Source organism: Homo sapiens, chromosome X (genome assembly GCF_000001405.40).
Source record: "Homo sapiens chromosome X, GRCh38.p14 Primary Assembly".
NCBI lineage: Eukaryota > Metazoa > Chordata > Mammalia > Primates > Hominidae > Homo > Homo sapiens.
The window spans coordinates 107,546,374-107,562,651 of record NC_000023.11 but is presented as its reverse complement, the minus strand read 5'-3'; the positions used below and the strand labels follow the sequence as shown (position 1 = coordinate 107,562,651).

At 44.5% G+C, this 16,278-nt stretch overlaps 1 protein-coding gene across 8 annotated transcripts in view, besides 1 other annotated feature; it reads right to left on the bottom strand.

Annotated features, from left to right (window-relative positions):
- The window catches only part of FRMPD3 (FERM and PDZ domain containing 3), a 155,600-nt gene that overhangs the window by 42,600 nt on the left and 96,722 nt on the right, over nt 1-16,278 (bottom strand). For 5 of the 8 annotated variants that reach the window (NM_001388459.1, NM_001388462.1, NM_032428.2 and 2 more), the window contains 5 exons: nt 12,496-12,603; nt 9,726-9,857; nt 8,148-8,267; nt 2,259-2,395; nt 1,799-1,925 (listed from right to left, as the gene is read on the bottom strand). In NM_001388459.1, coding sequence (NP_001375388.1) covers nt 1,799-1,925; nt 2,259-2,395; nt 8,148-8,267; nt 9,726-9,857; nt 12,496-12,603 — 624 coding nt within the window. Of the gene's footprint in view, nt 1-1,798; nt 1,926-2,258; nt 2,396-8,147; nt 8,268-9,725; nt 9,858-12,495; nt 12,604-15,409; nt 15,572-16,278 lie in introns of all 8 variants that reach the window. The other 3 variants (XM_011531056.4, XM_011531057.4, XM_006724709.4) reach the window with 3 other exon arrangements.
- Nucleotides 560-1,357: an enhancer, noted in NCBI's record as "OCT4-NANOG-H3K27ac-H3K4me1 hESC enhancer chrX:106804525-106805322 (GRCh37/hg19 assembly coordinates)". NCBI's record gives its function as "activates a minimal SCP1, AML or CMV promoter by ChIP-STARR-seq in naive and primed H9 embryonic stem cells {active_cell/tissue: H9 hESC(naive and primed)}" and the evidence as "EXISTENCE:reporter gene assay evidence [ECO:0000049][PMID:30033119]".

Below are 16,278 nucleotides of genomic sequence, written 5' to 3'. Positions count from 1 at the left end.
CAAGCCAGAAACCTGTGAGTCACACTGGACTCCTCCTTAATCGCCTCATGTGAGAGCCAGCAGTTACCAGATCATCTGGATACTTACCCCCTAGCTCCTTTTCCAATCTATCCATCCCTCTTCTCTAGCCAGTCATTGCCTTGACATTCCCACCTGTGTCAGGGTGACAGCCAGGTTACCTTCAGGACTGACACTTGTTTCCCTCTTTCCCTCAAGTGCCTCCACACTGTTAGAGGGAGCATCCTAAAACATAAGTTTAATCACATCAGCTCCCTGCTTTAAACCCTTCAATGGCTCCCAGCTGCCTAGAGGATGAAGTACAACCTCTTTCCTTGGCACACAAGGCCCTCCATGAACTGGCTCCTGCCAACCTCTCTGGCCTCTTCTCTTGCCCCTATCTTCACCCCTTGCACACAGCTTGCATTTTCTGTACTTGCTTAGGCTGAATGATTTGCATTTCTGTCCTTGCACCATGGTTTCTCATATCTCTGGGCCTTTGTACAGATGGATCTCTCTGCCTGGGAAACACTTCCTCCCATGACCCATGCCCACGGATTAATCTAGACAAACTCTTATCTGTCTTTCAAGACCCAGCTCTGGCCTTTTCCACCTCCCTCAGGCTGGGCTTAGTGTTCTTCCTCTGTGCTTCCAGAGCACCTGTGCCTAATGCACTGTGTTGGGACTGACTAATGTGTTTCCCCATTAGACTGTGCCTGACTCAGGGGCCAAGACCAGGCCCTCTTCATCTTCATATTTCCAACCCAAGCACTGGGGTGCCTCGAAAAAAATGTTACCTGAGGAGATGGTGGTGAGCACTGATGCTCTCAGTTGAGAAGAAAACAATCTGATTAAATATTCACAGCAAGGTGGGAATGGCTTAACTCTCCGGGGAAATTTGCATCTTAAAAGAGAAGCTAGTTGGTAATGCAAGAAATCTGGAATGGGAGGAATGTATGGGGCGATTGCGTCCCATATGTACATCTGCATGCTGATTCTAGTGCGTCTCACCACTCTCCTGCTTCTAGGGCAGGAAGCACAGGCAGATTGAATCTTACAAAGCTAAGAAGCTGCTGCGGGGCTTGGGAAAGCAGACAGTGGGAGTCCCTCAGAGCACTAGAAAGTGGAGGCAGTAACCTGATCCCTCACCATTCCACCCAGTGACCCATTCTCCAGGTCAGGTCTTGTGCCCCCAACTCTCCCACTTTCCCCTGGGCTGGGGTTTTGTCTCCCAGAATTCCACACCCTAGGACTGATGAATTAGAGGTACAGAGGTACATTTCCTTTTTTTACATTTTTTTTAAATTATTTTTTTAAAAGTAAAGACGCTGTCTCACTATGTTGCCCAGACTGGTCTCAAACTCCTGGGCTCAAGTGATCTTCCTGCTTTGGCCTCCCAAAGCGCTGGGATTACAGGCATGAGCCACCACACCAGCCTAGTCATTTCCATGGAAAACATGTGCCTCCCTAGGGTCCAGTGCTTTCCACATGATACATGCTCAGTCGGCACTGACTAATTGGTGAAAAGGACCTGAGAATTATCTCCTGCATCTTGGCCCCTTTGCTTTGAGGACCCTGAGCTCTCTCAGTGATGTGTCACTCAGCTGTCTCTTTGGGATGCTCAGGCTTGGGGAAGACTCCTCTCCACAACTGCCCCACACCTGGCCAAGCCGTATGTGCACCTGAGTCAAAAGCAGTGGTGAGGATCCCTAGAGGACCAGACTCTGCTGGGAAACCACCCAGGATCTCCCTGTGGCCAGTAGTGCCTGGAGCACCATGCCCAGTGGTCTACTCTGGATACCTTGGTGCCGCAGGAAGGATGTGTTTGGTGAGCCTTCAGTTGCTGAGAGAGAGATTTCCGGAGGTTCTTCTCTTTGATGACCTGCAGGAGGGAGGGGGGAAGAAAGGGTTCCAGGCCCCACTCCTTCCTAAAAGCAGAAGAAAAGTAAGAGATTAGTGAGAGAGGCAAAGTGGGACAGAGAGAAGATGGTAAGACAGAAATTGACTGAATCTGAGAGGTAGAGATGGAGGAATAGAGACTGGGAGAAAGAAAAAGGGACAGGGATAGGAAAATAACATTAGCCACAGCTCCCTAGTAGAAGCTGTAGCTCTAGGGCTTCATAGTCTAGATATGAGGGACTCCAATTCTCACTCCCATCCCATGTCCTACATTTCTGAAAAGCATAGCATAGCTCAACCAGTGTACCTTTTCCCTACGCAACTATTCGCCCCCCATCCCAACGGGCCGCAGCACAACTCACTCCACATTCTTGAGCGAGATCTTCTGACTAGGTCGAGTGGCTGAGACAGTGATATAGATGTGGAGCGCAGCAAGGCCCAAAAGCATCTCTGGCTTGGGATCCATTCCAAAGCGTTCTCGAATAACATCATTCCGACTCTGTGAGAGAGGGCAGTCCAAACCTATCAGCTGAAGGAGACATTCCTTCCCCACCCCCTGATCTACTCCCTTACATCCCAGACAATACTCATAGTATCAGTAAGGCATGCTAGATCAAGGGACAGAGGAAGGAGCTCCCCTTGGAGAAGAGACAACAGAGGAGGCTCAGGTCTCATAGACACTGTTCACTTTATTCAGCAGATACTAGATAGCCTTCTCAGTGACAGGGGCACACAATGGCAAGGTACAAGCAGACAGTCCAGTTCACTGCAAAAGTGAGACATGGCACCACTCCCTTTCTTTCCTCCTTTTATAAGAGACTTTCCTACTTTTTTTCATGGGGGTTATACTCACCCCCAAGCCATACAAGGCTCCTTTACTAGCTCAGATGGAAACAAGGGGAGAAAGATACTGGGAGGGACTCTCCACAGGGCCCTGGCCCAGAAGCCCAGGGTGAGAGCTGAATTGCAGGGATGGGGGAGGCATTCTTCTTCTTGGTGTCTGAAGGACAAAAATGTTGATGAGTCAATCTTCCCTATGCTATCCTAGAGGAGGTCTCCAGGAACTACTGGCCAAGGGTATGACAACCCCCAAACCCTGAGGGTCACAGCCCCAGCTATCAATGAGTCAGCCTTGGTTAGACCAGTTTCCCATTTTGTTAAAGTGGAACCAGTATGGACTAAGGGACTAGGAAGCCACAGTGATATCACTATAATATAGGAGAGAGTGGAAAAGGAATACATCATCAATGATCATCTATGTAGAAAATTCAGTGGATTCTATTACAAAAAACTACTACAACTACAGTTTTCCCTTGGTATCCATGGAGGATTTCTTCCAGGACCCCCATGGATACTGAAATTTGTGGATGCTTAAGTCCTTTATATAAAATGCTGTGGTATTTGCATGTAACCTATGCAAATCCTCCTGTATACCTCTATCACCTCTAGATTACTTATAATGCCTAATACAATTAAAATGCTATATAAGGCCAGGTGCAATGGCTCATGCCTGTAATCACAGCACTTTGGGAGGCGGAGACTGGTGGATTACCTGAGATCAGGAGTTCAAGACCAGCCTGGACAACATGGTGAAACCCCGTCTCTACTAAAAATACAAAAATTAGCTGGGCATGGTGGCGGGCGCCTGTAATCCCAGCTACTTGAGAGGCTGAGGCAGGAGAATCACTTGAACTCAGGAGGTGGAGGTTCCAATGAGCCGAGAGCGAAACTCCATCTCAAAAAAAAAAAAAAATTGCTATAGTGCTATGTAGGCCAGATGCTGTGGCTCATGCCTAAAGTCACAGCACTTTGGGAGGTTGAGGCAGGTGAATCACTTGAGGTCAGGAGTTTGAGACCAGCCTGGCCAACATGGTGAAACCCTGTCTCTATTAAGAAATACAAAAATTAGCTGGGCGTGGTGGTGCATGTCTATAGTCCCAGCTACTTGGGAAGCTGAGGCAGGAGAATTGTTTGAACCTGGGAGGTGGAGGTTGCAGTGAGCCGAGATCATGGCACTGCACTCTAGCCTGGGTGACAGAGCGAGACTCTGTCTCAAACTAAACTAAAATAAAAATGCTATGCAAATAGTTATTATATTATATTTTTAAATTTTGTATTTTTTATTATTGCACTGTTATTTTTTATTGTTTTTGAATATTTTCAAAATCCACAAATATGGAACCTGTAGATATGAAGGGCCAAATGTAGTGAGTTTACCAAGGTTTCAGGATATAAGATCAATACACAAAAATCAATTGTATTTCTATTCTTTTAAAAATAAATCTTTTTGTATAGAGATGGGGGTCTCACTATGTTGCCCAGGCTGGTCTTGAACTCCTGAGCTCAAGTGATCTTCCTGCTTCAGTCTCCCAAAGTGCTGCAATTACAGACGTGAGCCAACATGCCCAACCCCAACTCTATTTGTATATGCTAGCAAGAAATAATTGAAAATTGGAATTAAAATCAAAATCATTTACAATAGCATCAAAAAATATGAAATAATTAGGGACAAATCTGACAAAACATATGAAAGACCTATATACTGAAAACTACAAAATACTGCTGAGGAAAATTATAGAAGGTATAATTAAATGTAGAAATACTGTGTTCAGGGATTGGAAGGCTCAATATTGTTAGGATGTCAATTGTCCCCAAATTGATCTATAGTTTCAACACAATCCTAATCCAAATCACAGCAGGTTTTGGTAGAAATTATCATGGTGATTCTAAAATTCACATGAAAATGCAAAGGACCTATAATAGCCAAACCAACTTTGAAAAAGAACAAAGTTGGAGAACAAATACTTCCTGATTTCAAGAATTATTATAAAGCTCCAGTAATCAAGAGTGTGATGTTGACATAACGACAGACAAGTAGACCAACAGATCAGAATAGAGAGTACAGGAATAGATCTATATATATATATATATATATATATATATATATATATATATATAGACAACAGATTTTTAACAAAAGTACAAAGGCAATTCAGTGGAGGAAGGATACTCTTCTCAACAAAAGGTGCTATAACAATTGGATATCCATATGCAAAAAAAAACACACACACACACACACACACACACACACGAAACTTTGATGGATACCTTGCACCACATACAAAAGTTAATTCAAATGGATCATAGGCCTAAATATAAAACTGTAAATGATAAAACATCTAGAAAAAAATAGGGGAAAATTCTTGTAACCTTGGGTTAGACAAAGATTTTTTAGATATGACACCAAAAGCACTGTCCATAAAAGAACAAATTAGCAAACTGGACTTCATCAAAATTCACACATTTGCTCTGTGAAAGACGTTGTTTAGAGACTGAAAAGGAAAGCTACACACTGGAAGAAAATATTTGCAAATAATATATCTAACAAACAGCTTGTATCCAGAGTATATAAAGAACTCTCAAAACTCAATAAGAAAACAACCCAATAAAAAAGCAGGCAAAGATCTAAATGGACACTTCCCCCGAGAAGATGCGTAGCATCAAATAAACACATGAAAAGATGCTCAACATCATTAGTCATTAGGAAAATGCAAATGAAAATCACAATGAGATGCCACTACGCACTATCAGAATGACTAAAGTAAAAAAAGAATACTGAAAATACCAAGTGCTGATAAGGATGTAAGAAAATGAAACTCTCATACATGGCTGGTGGGAATGAAAGATGGTACAACTACATTTGAAAACAGTAAAGTTTCTTTACAAAATTAAAGAAAGAGATCTAGCATATGCTCAGACCATTCCACTTCTAAGTGTTTACCCCAAAGAAAAGAAGGCATATGTCCATACGAAGACTGGTACATGAAAGTTCATAGAAGCTTTATTGTAATAACTAAAACCTGGAAACAACCCAAATGTTCATCAACAGGTGAATTAATAAACACATTCTGGAATATCCACACCATGAAATACTACTTGACAATAAAAATGAATGAAATAATTGATACACGCAACAACATAGATGGATCTCAAAATCAGTATGCCGAGCCAAATAAGTCAGATCAAAATAAGTATACATACCATATGATCTCATTTCTATATAACTCTAAAAAGTGCAAACTAATCTATAGTGACAGAAAGCAGGTCAGTGGTAGCCTAGGGCTGGGAGGGATGAATTACAAAGTGGCCTGAATAAACTTTTAGGTGTGTTGGATATGTTCAATATTTTGATTGTGGTGATGGTTTCATGGGCATAAACATAGGTCAAAACGTATGGTATTGTGTACTGTAAACATGTACGGTTTATCTTTTGTCAGTTAGACCTCAATAAAGCTGTTACATGTAAAAAAGAAAGAATACAGCTGAAGTCCATATCATCATGAAGCAGAAGGATAGGATGGACATGATCTTGTCACTAAATTCTAAAATATTCAAACCAAGGTAATCCTTGGAAGCTTGAATTAAGAAATTCAGGGCAAAAAAAAAAAATGAGAACTAAACTTACAAAATTCACAGAGCAACCACAACTCATTGCCTCCTAGAAGGTTGGTAAATGAACCTGAGGCTGTCTGGGAAACGTTCCTAACATTTTAGGTTGTCAGAACAGTCAAAAAGGACAACGACAATGTCTCATAGCACCTCCCTGGATATCACCATCAGAGACAGATGAAGTTTGAGGTTTTTTTCTCTCATTAAGTGCTGTTGTATGTCCTATGGGCACCTAAAACTCAACATTTCCCAAAATGAACTCATCTTTACCCTAAACCCATTCCATTGTCTGTATTCTCTAACTTGGGGAATGATACCACCTCTACAAGACACTTGTTAAGTTAAAGCCTATCCATTCTACCCTTTAAATCTCTCTTGAAACCCATCCCACCTCCTTCATCATGGCCCTGGTTCTAGCCCTTGTCATTTCTTCTGGATAACTGCCATTGCTCCCTAGCTGGTGTACTTCCTTAGCACTGTGTGGTCTTTTGAATTTGCTCATCTGACCAGGCTATTCTTCTCTTTTAATAATTTCTGCTCTCCTACTCTCCCACAGAATTTCTTTACTTTGGCTGCACATTAGGATCACTTGAGGAATTTAAAAAAATACCAGTGTTTGGACCCCACTCCCATAGATTTTGATTCAACTGGTCTTGGATGGGGCACAGCATTTTCCCAAACCTCCCAGATAATTTTAATGTGCATCTAAGGTTTAAACCACCATCATAAAGCAGAGGTTCTCAAAGTCTTTTGGGCATCGGAATCCCCTGGAAGGCTTGTTAAAACACAGAGTACTGAATTCTGCCTCCAGAGTTTCTGACTCAGTAGGACTGGGCTGGGGCCTAAGAATTTGCATTTCTAACAAGGTCCCAGTTGATGCTGATGCTACCACTCCAGGAAGCATGAAATTGCAAAGAATCTATAACAGCCACACTTTAAGAACCGCTGCCCAGGCTCAATCATAAAGTCTATGCTTGCCTTGGCCTACCAAAAGCCTTTGATCACTGCTTCCTGTCTCTCCAATTTTATTCCCTACTCCTCTTTACCTCACATCCTGTACTCTAGCCATAAAAAATCACTCATGCTTCTCTCATGATCCCATGCTGTTTCATGCCACCATGGCTTTGTAAATGCAAGGCCCTTTGCTTAGAGTATGCCCCCTCCATTCCATCTCTCTACACAACAAACTCTCATTCATTCTTCAAGGCTAAGAGCATGCATATATCACTTTTTCCATGAAGCCTGCACCATCTCTCTTGTGTAGAGTTGGAAAAATGCTTCCTGAGTGCCCTCATCTTCATTGCACCCTGCTGCTGTCATATTTATTCAGGCACATATAAGCTCTAGTGAGCCAGGACAGTTCTTCATTCACTTCTGATTGCTAGTACCTAGCATAGGGCTTAACCCAGAGTAAGTGTCTAGTAAATGTTTCTGGATAAACTGAATTGGGAATCATCTCATACTGGAGCTAGGTATTGGGGGTTGGGACCCGTTGAAACCGAAATGGGCTTGTTAAACTTTAGGATCCTGTGAGGATGCCAGAGTTACTGGGATTGCTTGTTTCTGAAAACTGATGAGATCTGAGTGGACAAATAGACAGGACTTTGAGCCACAGCCAGCTCAGGTCACCAGGCCAGCCAACTTGGCCATGGCCTACGATGGTAGCAGAAAAGGAAGGAAAGGGCCTTCAGGGCTACCTGGAGGTTGGAAAAACTTACATAGCTATTTCATTGTGATGGCAGAACAGCCTGCCTGCTTCTTTGTCCACTGGTCTGTCTGTGTATCCCCAAGCCAGACTCTACCTGGATGTATAGGTACTCAAAAGCAGCAGGATCCCGACGCAGCAGCTCCACAGGGTCTTTGGGAAAGAAGCTTATTCGGAAGAGGCATTTCATTCCATGATAGTGTGTCCGCTGTACCACCTGAATTCCAGGGATGAAAGGGGAGAAGAAAAGAGATCTGGAATCAATGGCTGGGGTGTTGGGCTGGCAGCTCAGTGGCTCTTTAAGGTGGGGCTTGGGGCAGAGCTAAGCTGTTGTTTCCTACTCTGTCTCCGACCTGGCTGATTCTAATTACCCTCAGAGGAAAGTAGTGAGGAGTCAGGTCTTTTCTACACTTCTGACCCAAAATAAGAGGAATTTTCAAATCACTTATCTAGGACATGACCTTTATCAACCATTGGGTCTAAAGCCCAAGACACTAGGCAGGAAGGGAGGGCTCCTGGCAATGGCTCAGACTCCTCTTTTCTTGCTGTGGGATTCATGCCTTTACCTTACAGAGGGGCTCAGCCTCAAGCAGAGTAAATTGCTGATTAGAGTAAATCAAAGGTTTAAAATATTATTTCAAGGTACAGATGAAACATCTTGGCACTGTATTGATAATTGTTGAACCTGGGAATGGGTAATAGGGTTAATGATACTATATTCCTCCTACTTGTGTGTATGTGTGAAAGTTTTCATAATAAAAAAGTTTAAAATCCCATTTGGAACAACAGACCAACTGAATTCAAAGGGTTGCTTGGGGGTGAGGGAGGTGCTTAGGCCTCCCTCCAGGCAGGACTCCCACAACCTTTCCTTCCCACCAGTGAGTCTCTGTATTGCATTTGGCTGAGAGCTAAACTTGAATCTCTCTTTCCAAAAATCCTTTCATCTTTTTGTGTCTGATTTGGGGTTTTGTTTGGCTTTCATGTAGGCTCTGAAAAGGTATTTCTTCCACTGTTCCTTTCCAACTCTGTCCCACCCTACTTGGTAGTACTGATTGGCTTTGATTGCATCTCTGACACTTCTTGGTGCTTCACTGTAGATGAAATGCTATCCAGGAATCCTGGATTTCCCCAGCCCTTTTCCATATGGTGAGGGCTAGGAAGACCGGATACTTTTTCCTACTCTACCTTGTAAATTGATGTGGGTGACATGCCGCCTATTTTTGGCTCTACTCAGCCAATTCCCAACTCCCACTTGTCCTAGGATAAGTGGGAGTTGGGAATTGGCTGAGTAGGATCCACTCCCTGACCCTTCCATAACAGCCTTCATGCAAAAGGCCAAGTTTTCTCCCAGAAAGCAGAAAAATCTATCATGTGGGGTTTCCAGGAGACAGGAGACTTGCAACTGCTCCTTATCTCAGCATTCTGGGTGCCATGTGGTGAATCACCCCATACTCTTCCCCCTAGAGACCAAGACTAATGATCTTCATGCTCTTCTCAGCTCACAAAGGCCACTGCCAAAAGCCCTCTGGAGGTGGATAATACCAGCTTTGGGTGAGAACTGTGACTTCTGGGAACCGGCTGAGCATATCATTATAAATTTTCCAGACAGGGAGTGCCTTGGGTCTTCTCTACTAGAGGCCACATGCAAAGCTATCTGTAAAAAAGAGTTACTTACATAAGCCAGGGGTTGCTTGTCCTGAAGAAGCAGAAACTTGTGATTCTGTTCTGGCCCGGCATACTCAAGGACAAGAGCAAAGTGCTCAATGAACCTCAGGGAAAGGCGGTCCTGTAATGTCAACATCACATCCTGTGGGACAGAAAAGAGCCTTGAGAGGGAGATTAGTTCTGGCCCTAAGCTATTCTAAGCATCAAACATGGGAGGGGGGATTAAACACCAAGAAAAGAAATATAGTCCTGGGGAGAAGGCTGCAACACTGGCCTTTATAGTAGCCCAGGCTCTGTGATCCACAATGAGTAAAGTGACCCATGAGTGCTGCTCAGAGGCCTGGGCCCTGGGGAGAGGTGCAGGGGGTTAGAGGTAGGTGTTTCTGAATTTCACCTGGCGAGGCTTATGGCAAAAGAAGGTCATGTCTCTCCCTCCCTACCTCTCTCCTTCCACTCAAAAAATTATCTTTTAAATGCTTACTAAGTGCCAGGCACTGTGTTGGTTCTCCCTTCACCTTCTCTTATAAGTCAGAATATCCACTTGGGATAGTCTGTCAACTCTTAGGAATGAACAAAAGCAAAAGTGACATTTATATGATTAAAAAGCATACTATTTCTGGATTCATAATTTAAATCAAATGACTTGAGTTACTGGCAAAATGTTCATTTTTGACCATAACTGGATTTTATAGATGATCAATTTAGCAACTCGAAAAATGTATCCATGCAGAGGAACTATGTCATGTGTTTTGTGTACAGTCATAAATCTGACTACTTCTGGGTTCCATCTGCTCTGCTGCCCTACTTTTAATATTAGGGTGTCTGAAAACATTTCAGAAGGGGCTGCACAAATGTCAGTTCTGAGACTTCTGCCACTGATTTGCTGTGACTTTGGCTTATACACTGGGCTCCAATGTGTGTGTTCATGGAGTCAGCATCTCTCAGCCCCCAAAGGCTGGAAAGAATCAAGCTTGGGAATATAAAACATCTTTACAACCGCAGTTGCCAAACAAGCCCCTCAATGAACACTGAAAGACGTTCAGTTATTCAAATGTTAAGCTGGAAATTGGTGGGTACTTCAGAGCATCTCTTGTGTTGTCCAAGTAGTCACAGAGGCGCCAGTGTTGCTGGAGCTCTGTCAGGGACAGATGAGGTTTTCTTTGCAGTTTGGCTGCACTGGGATTGTGGACAGCCAATCCGGCGATTGCCAACTGGTGTTACAAGTGTAACAGCCCCTGTGCCAGGCTGTCAATTCACCCAGGTACCTCTCTGGGACAAGTGGCTTGGCAGCCTGTCAAAGCTCCAATAAGTCGCCAGCACACCCTTCCTGGAGTCAGATTGAGATCACAAGCGAGGGGAACACTGCTGTCTTGGAAGGCTGGGGCTACCTGGAAGCCACAATGGCGCTGATGATGTGAGGTGGGAGAACTTCAGAGAAGACTCCAAAGGGAAAGAGAGGGCACTAAACACTCCAGTATGGAGACAGAGTCCACAATGGACATACCAACCCATGAATAAACCACCAAGGAGGATTCTGACACAAAGCGATATTCACATCTGGAGAAGGCACATTTGGACACCTCCTGGGTGGTCTAGTTCTGTTTCAATGCCCCCTCCCATGCCCCCTTCAATAGCCAAAAGAACATTCTATGGCACCCTAAGTAGTATGTTTTGGTCCTAGGTCCCCTGGGGGACCCACCTAGGCCTAAGCCTTTCAAAAAAATTCTCCATTCAGGGACTGTCCCACTCCCTGCAGAATACTTAGCATCTCCGACCCTAAAACACAAAATGCCAGTAGCACACCAAATCATTAGGATGACCTAAAACACCCTTAGACACTTCCAAAAGCTCTCTAAGAGTGGGAAGTAGGAATCCTGGTTGAAAATCACTGGCAAGACCCATTCTGAGTACCTGATAACTCCTCTTAGCAAACGTTTGTTGGTCCAAGAGTTTCTTTACTTATAGGATTGCCTTGGTCCCAGTATGGGAACCACAGGGTACCTGTGGACCAACCTAGGTTTTCTGGGTAGACACCGTAGCTGCCCAGCAGTTTGGGCGGCATTAGTTGCATTAAAATACTCATTCTGGGGATGGCATTCTCTTTCTGGAGAGAGTCCAGAAGATGCAGGAATGGATATTTCTGTCCCAGAGCAGAGTTGAATCTGGGGGTGAATCATATCATCACTTCTATTCCTAAGGATTAGAGGAAAGTCACTAGGACTTTCTGACACCTGGCTGAGCTGTGAAGAATCACAGCTCAGTAATTGCTCTTCCTGTGAAAAGAACAGCCAAAGAGGCTGTGGCTGGACATTTCAAATCTTGGTTCAGTGCTTGAGATCAGGTTGTTATTTAAAAAGCAAGCCATAACTAAGCTAATCTCCCAAGAGACTGTGTTTATTTCTGTGCATAAACTTGTGTAGGTGTTATGGTATCAATATAAATCACTTTTGCTTTATAAATGGCTTAATGATCTTCATATTCTTTAGTTCTTAAAAGTCCTGAAGGACCCCATGTAACGCAAACACAGAGCAGTTCACAAGTATAAGTGCACACACACGGTTTAACAATTACTAGCACACAGTTGGGCATGCAAACTTCTACCACCACTCTCATCTGGGACTGTGCATTTTTGCAGCCTTGTGCTAACAAGCATCCAGAGCTTAAAGGCCACCTTACTCCAGTGGCAAGCAGCTATGTGCAGACTCAGAGGAACACAGGACACACAACTGCATGTACTCTGGAGAGGGCAATGCTGACCAGGGGGAGGAGACTGTATGTACCTTAACAGTGGTCCGACCATCAAATGTGAATGACTTGATCTGCCCATTTTCTAAGAAAACCTTCAGGACATTAGGGATGAGGAGGAGAGCTTCCTTCTTCATCATTTTCTGTGAACAAGCAGGGAAAGGACAAGGAGACCGGCTCATTTAGAAGGAAGTAGGAAGCCAGAGGAAGGGTGTGAAAAAGGAGAGAGAAAAGGTGATGGAGACAGAGAGCCAAAGGTGTAGGAGGGCAGAGACAGAGGAAAGAGCAGATCAATAATACATGGGGACCAGAACCAAACTCCCCAACAAGACACTGAGCCATATCAAAAGCCCGCCTCCATTTGACATCACGGAGCACCCACATTCTACTGTAGTTCAAACCTCCACAGATCAGAGCAAAGGGATCACCACACACCCGCTGAAGGGCTGATGAGAGGCCTCCTTTGGAGTCTACCTCACCCACCTGATCTTATCTCTGACATTTTTTTAAACACCTTCTACAAAGCTTCTAGACTGATCTTATCTCCTGATACCTCCCTTTCCCTGAGGCCCTTCACAAGCCAAGATCACGTCCTGTCAAGGCCTTTGCTCTGCCTTTTCCCCTCCCTAGGCCCTTTCTGACCTGGCCCCTGCCTAGTCTCCAGAGTCACGTCTTGCTATTCCTAGTACCCACACCTCTTTCACACCTCCATACCTCTGATGATTCTTCATTATTCAGGGATGTCCCCCTCCCTGCACAACACTTAGCATCTCCGACCCTGAGACATGAAGTGCCAGTAGCACACCAAAGCATTGGGATGACCTGAAACACCCTCAGACATTTTCTTTTTTTTTTCTTTTTCTTTTTTTGAGACAGAGTCTCGCTCTGTCGCCCAGGTGGGAGTGCAGTGGTGTGATCTCGGCTCGCTGCAACCTCTGCCTCCTGAGTTCAAGTGATCCTCCTGCCTCAGCCTCTCTAGTAGTAGCTGGGATTACAGGCGAGAGTCACCATGCCTGGCCCTCAGACATTTTCAAAAGCTCTCTAGCAATGGGAGGTACTGACTCTGATTGAGACATTCTTAATAAAAATTCATTAAATAAAGACTGTTCTCTTTCTCTGAGGACTCTAAAAGAAAGAAAGAAAAAAAGCTGTTCCCTCTGCCTTTCTCTTTTCCTCTTTGGCAAACTCCTATTTATCCTTCAAAACCCAGCTCAAATATGTATTCTGTAAAGCCTTGGTCTAATATCATCAGATACTTGGACCTGGTCTTTCCATGCATTCCTATAGCAATTTATGCACGCTTCTCACAATGCTCTTACCGTATTTTGTTTTGTTTTGATTTCTTTTTGAGACAGGGTCTCGCTCTATTGCCTAGGCTGGAGTGCAGTGGTGCAATCACAGCTCACTGCAGCCTCAAACTCCTGGGCTCAAGTGATCCTTCTACCTCAGCCTCCCAAATAGCTACGACTACAGGCATGTGCCACTACACCTAGCTAAATTTTTTACTTTTTGTAGAGACAGGGTCTCACTATGCTGCCGAAACTCACCTTTATCATATTTTTGAAGGATATTTGTCTTTCACAATCAAATGGTGAAATGAGAGCACAAAGACCATGTCCTATTTATCTTTGTAGTCCCAACACTAAACAAAGTTCCTGGCACACATTTGGTGCGCAATAAATGGCTGCTGAATGAATGGGCAGTAGGTGCTTGATGTGCACTTACTGAATGATCACTCTCATCCCAACCATTTCCCTGGGCCAACATCATCATCAGTTCTATAGGAATGGAAAAGCTGCAGAGATAACCAGATTCCTTAATTCACTGGGCATTCATTGAACCTCTACTGTATGCCCAACACTATGCTAAGTCTCTATGAGAGCTACAGGAGATTTAAATCCAGTCTTAAATTCTTGTTGTAGTGACTTGGCACACATACACATTATAAAACCAAAGCAAACCAACAGGTATAAGATGGCTAAAGTTTCCTAGATAAGGCAAATTGGATTTTGATTTTGAAGGAGACAGTGGGTGTGGATGATTTGAGAAGCCAGATGAGAACAGTCTAGACCTAGAGACTGTCATGGATCATGGACAAAGCATGGAAAGAGGAACAAGCAAATCCTCCTGGGTTGGGGTATGGTTGATGGTGGTGAGGAGCCAAGAGACAAGCTTGGCTGTGGAAACAAGGTGGGAAGTGGTGGGATATAAAATTGGAAGAGTGTGACTCCCTGGTCCCCTCCCTGATCTTGAGATGCCTTGCTCCTGCCAGGCCCAGCGGCCCCGGATCCCAGTGGTGGCAGGTTTTATTTAGCACACTGGGTTGGACTCAGATAATTACTTAATTGAATTTGCTTAAAAATAGAGCTGGCAAGGATCACCCACAGGATTTATTTTTGCTCTGGCTGCTTAATAAAGCCTTGGAACACGAAAGGAAAGGGTTGATAGGAGAGCCTGGAGTCACTTGGGCCTGGACTCCCCCGGCTCCCGACCTGTGATGAGGCTGCTATGGTCCATACTGGCGGCAGCATGGAGGAGGGTGATGTTGTAACACCAGGTAATTTCACGAGTGCAGTGAGAGTTGGAAGATTGATGTCTGTCTCTCACCCAGACAAGAGCCTCACACTATGCCTGGTGGCCTGTCCGAGAGAATGAGGTCACTCTAGGTGGGTCCTAGCTACTCTGTGGCATTTGCATTCAGAATAGACTGGAGTGGGGGGCATCGTTACGCCTGTAGACTAGCTGTGCCTGTAACCTAGCTGTGACGTATGGAGAGGGGAATCATGGTGGAAGAAGGAGAAAGTGGAGAAGGGGAAGTAGAAGGGAGAGGAAGAGAAGAGAGGGGAGGGGAGTGGGGAGGAAGGGAAGGAGTTCTTCACTGGGTGGCCTGCCCTTGACTGATTACTCTGCAATGTTGAGATGGCATAGGATAAGCCTGTTCATACTTACCAAATCCAAGTCATACGTCCTCTGGGTTTTCAAGCATTCAGGACACACATATCCTCCTGGTGACTTGGACCTCGGGGTCTGTTTCACCCTGATTTGCAGGGACTCCATATTACTCCTTTTCCCCTCTGCTCATCAATGATCACTTCTCTTAAAACTTTTCTTCTAGGATTGACACAGATCCCAACCATCAATTATTCAGACAGCTTGCCCAGTGGGGTCCTGTAGTCCCCTGGGTTTGCCAGCCTTCCTCATGCAGAGATGGAGGAGGGCATAGACTGAGTTTGGGAATGAGAGTCAGGGAAATGGAGATGGAAGACACCTGTGTCCTCTATACCTTCTTCTCACTAATTCTGCCTTAAATAATATAGAAGCGCCTGGCACCCTGCTGATTTCCCTGCTCTGGGCCTGCTATCTTCTCCCAACAACTGTGGCTGTTCCTCAGTACGTAAATGCCAAGGGCCTCCAGACAGCTCTGCCCATCACAGCTATCAAAAGCACACAAGTGCCTGTTAGCTCTAGCTATCCCCTCTGTCCCCACCAGGTTATCACTAACTTCTGCAGATTCCTGAAGGACTCGGCCAGAATGCATGACTGCTTAACACACTTCTTTTCTGCTCTTCACCTGCCTCTTCTCATTTGCACATCTGGAGCCGACAGTTCACTGCATGTAAACCTCCCAAAGCAGTGAGAAACACTGTGGCTGGCCAAGACTCCCCAAATTGGCAGCTGCATGGCATGGGCTGTCAAATATTACCTGTCTTTCGAAACAATACCACCCCGTAGTAGATTTTGTATTGTCTCAATCTGAACCTCTTGTCCCCCTCAACATTGCTGAGAGGTATCTGGTAGCAGGGAACAGGTATTTATTT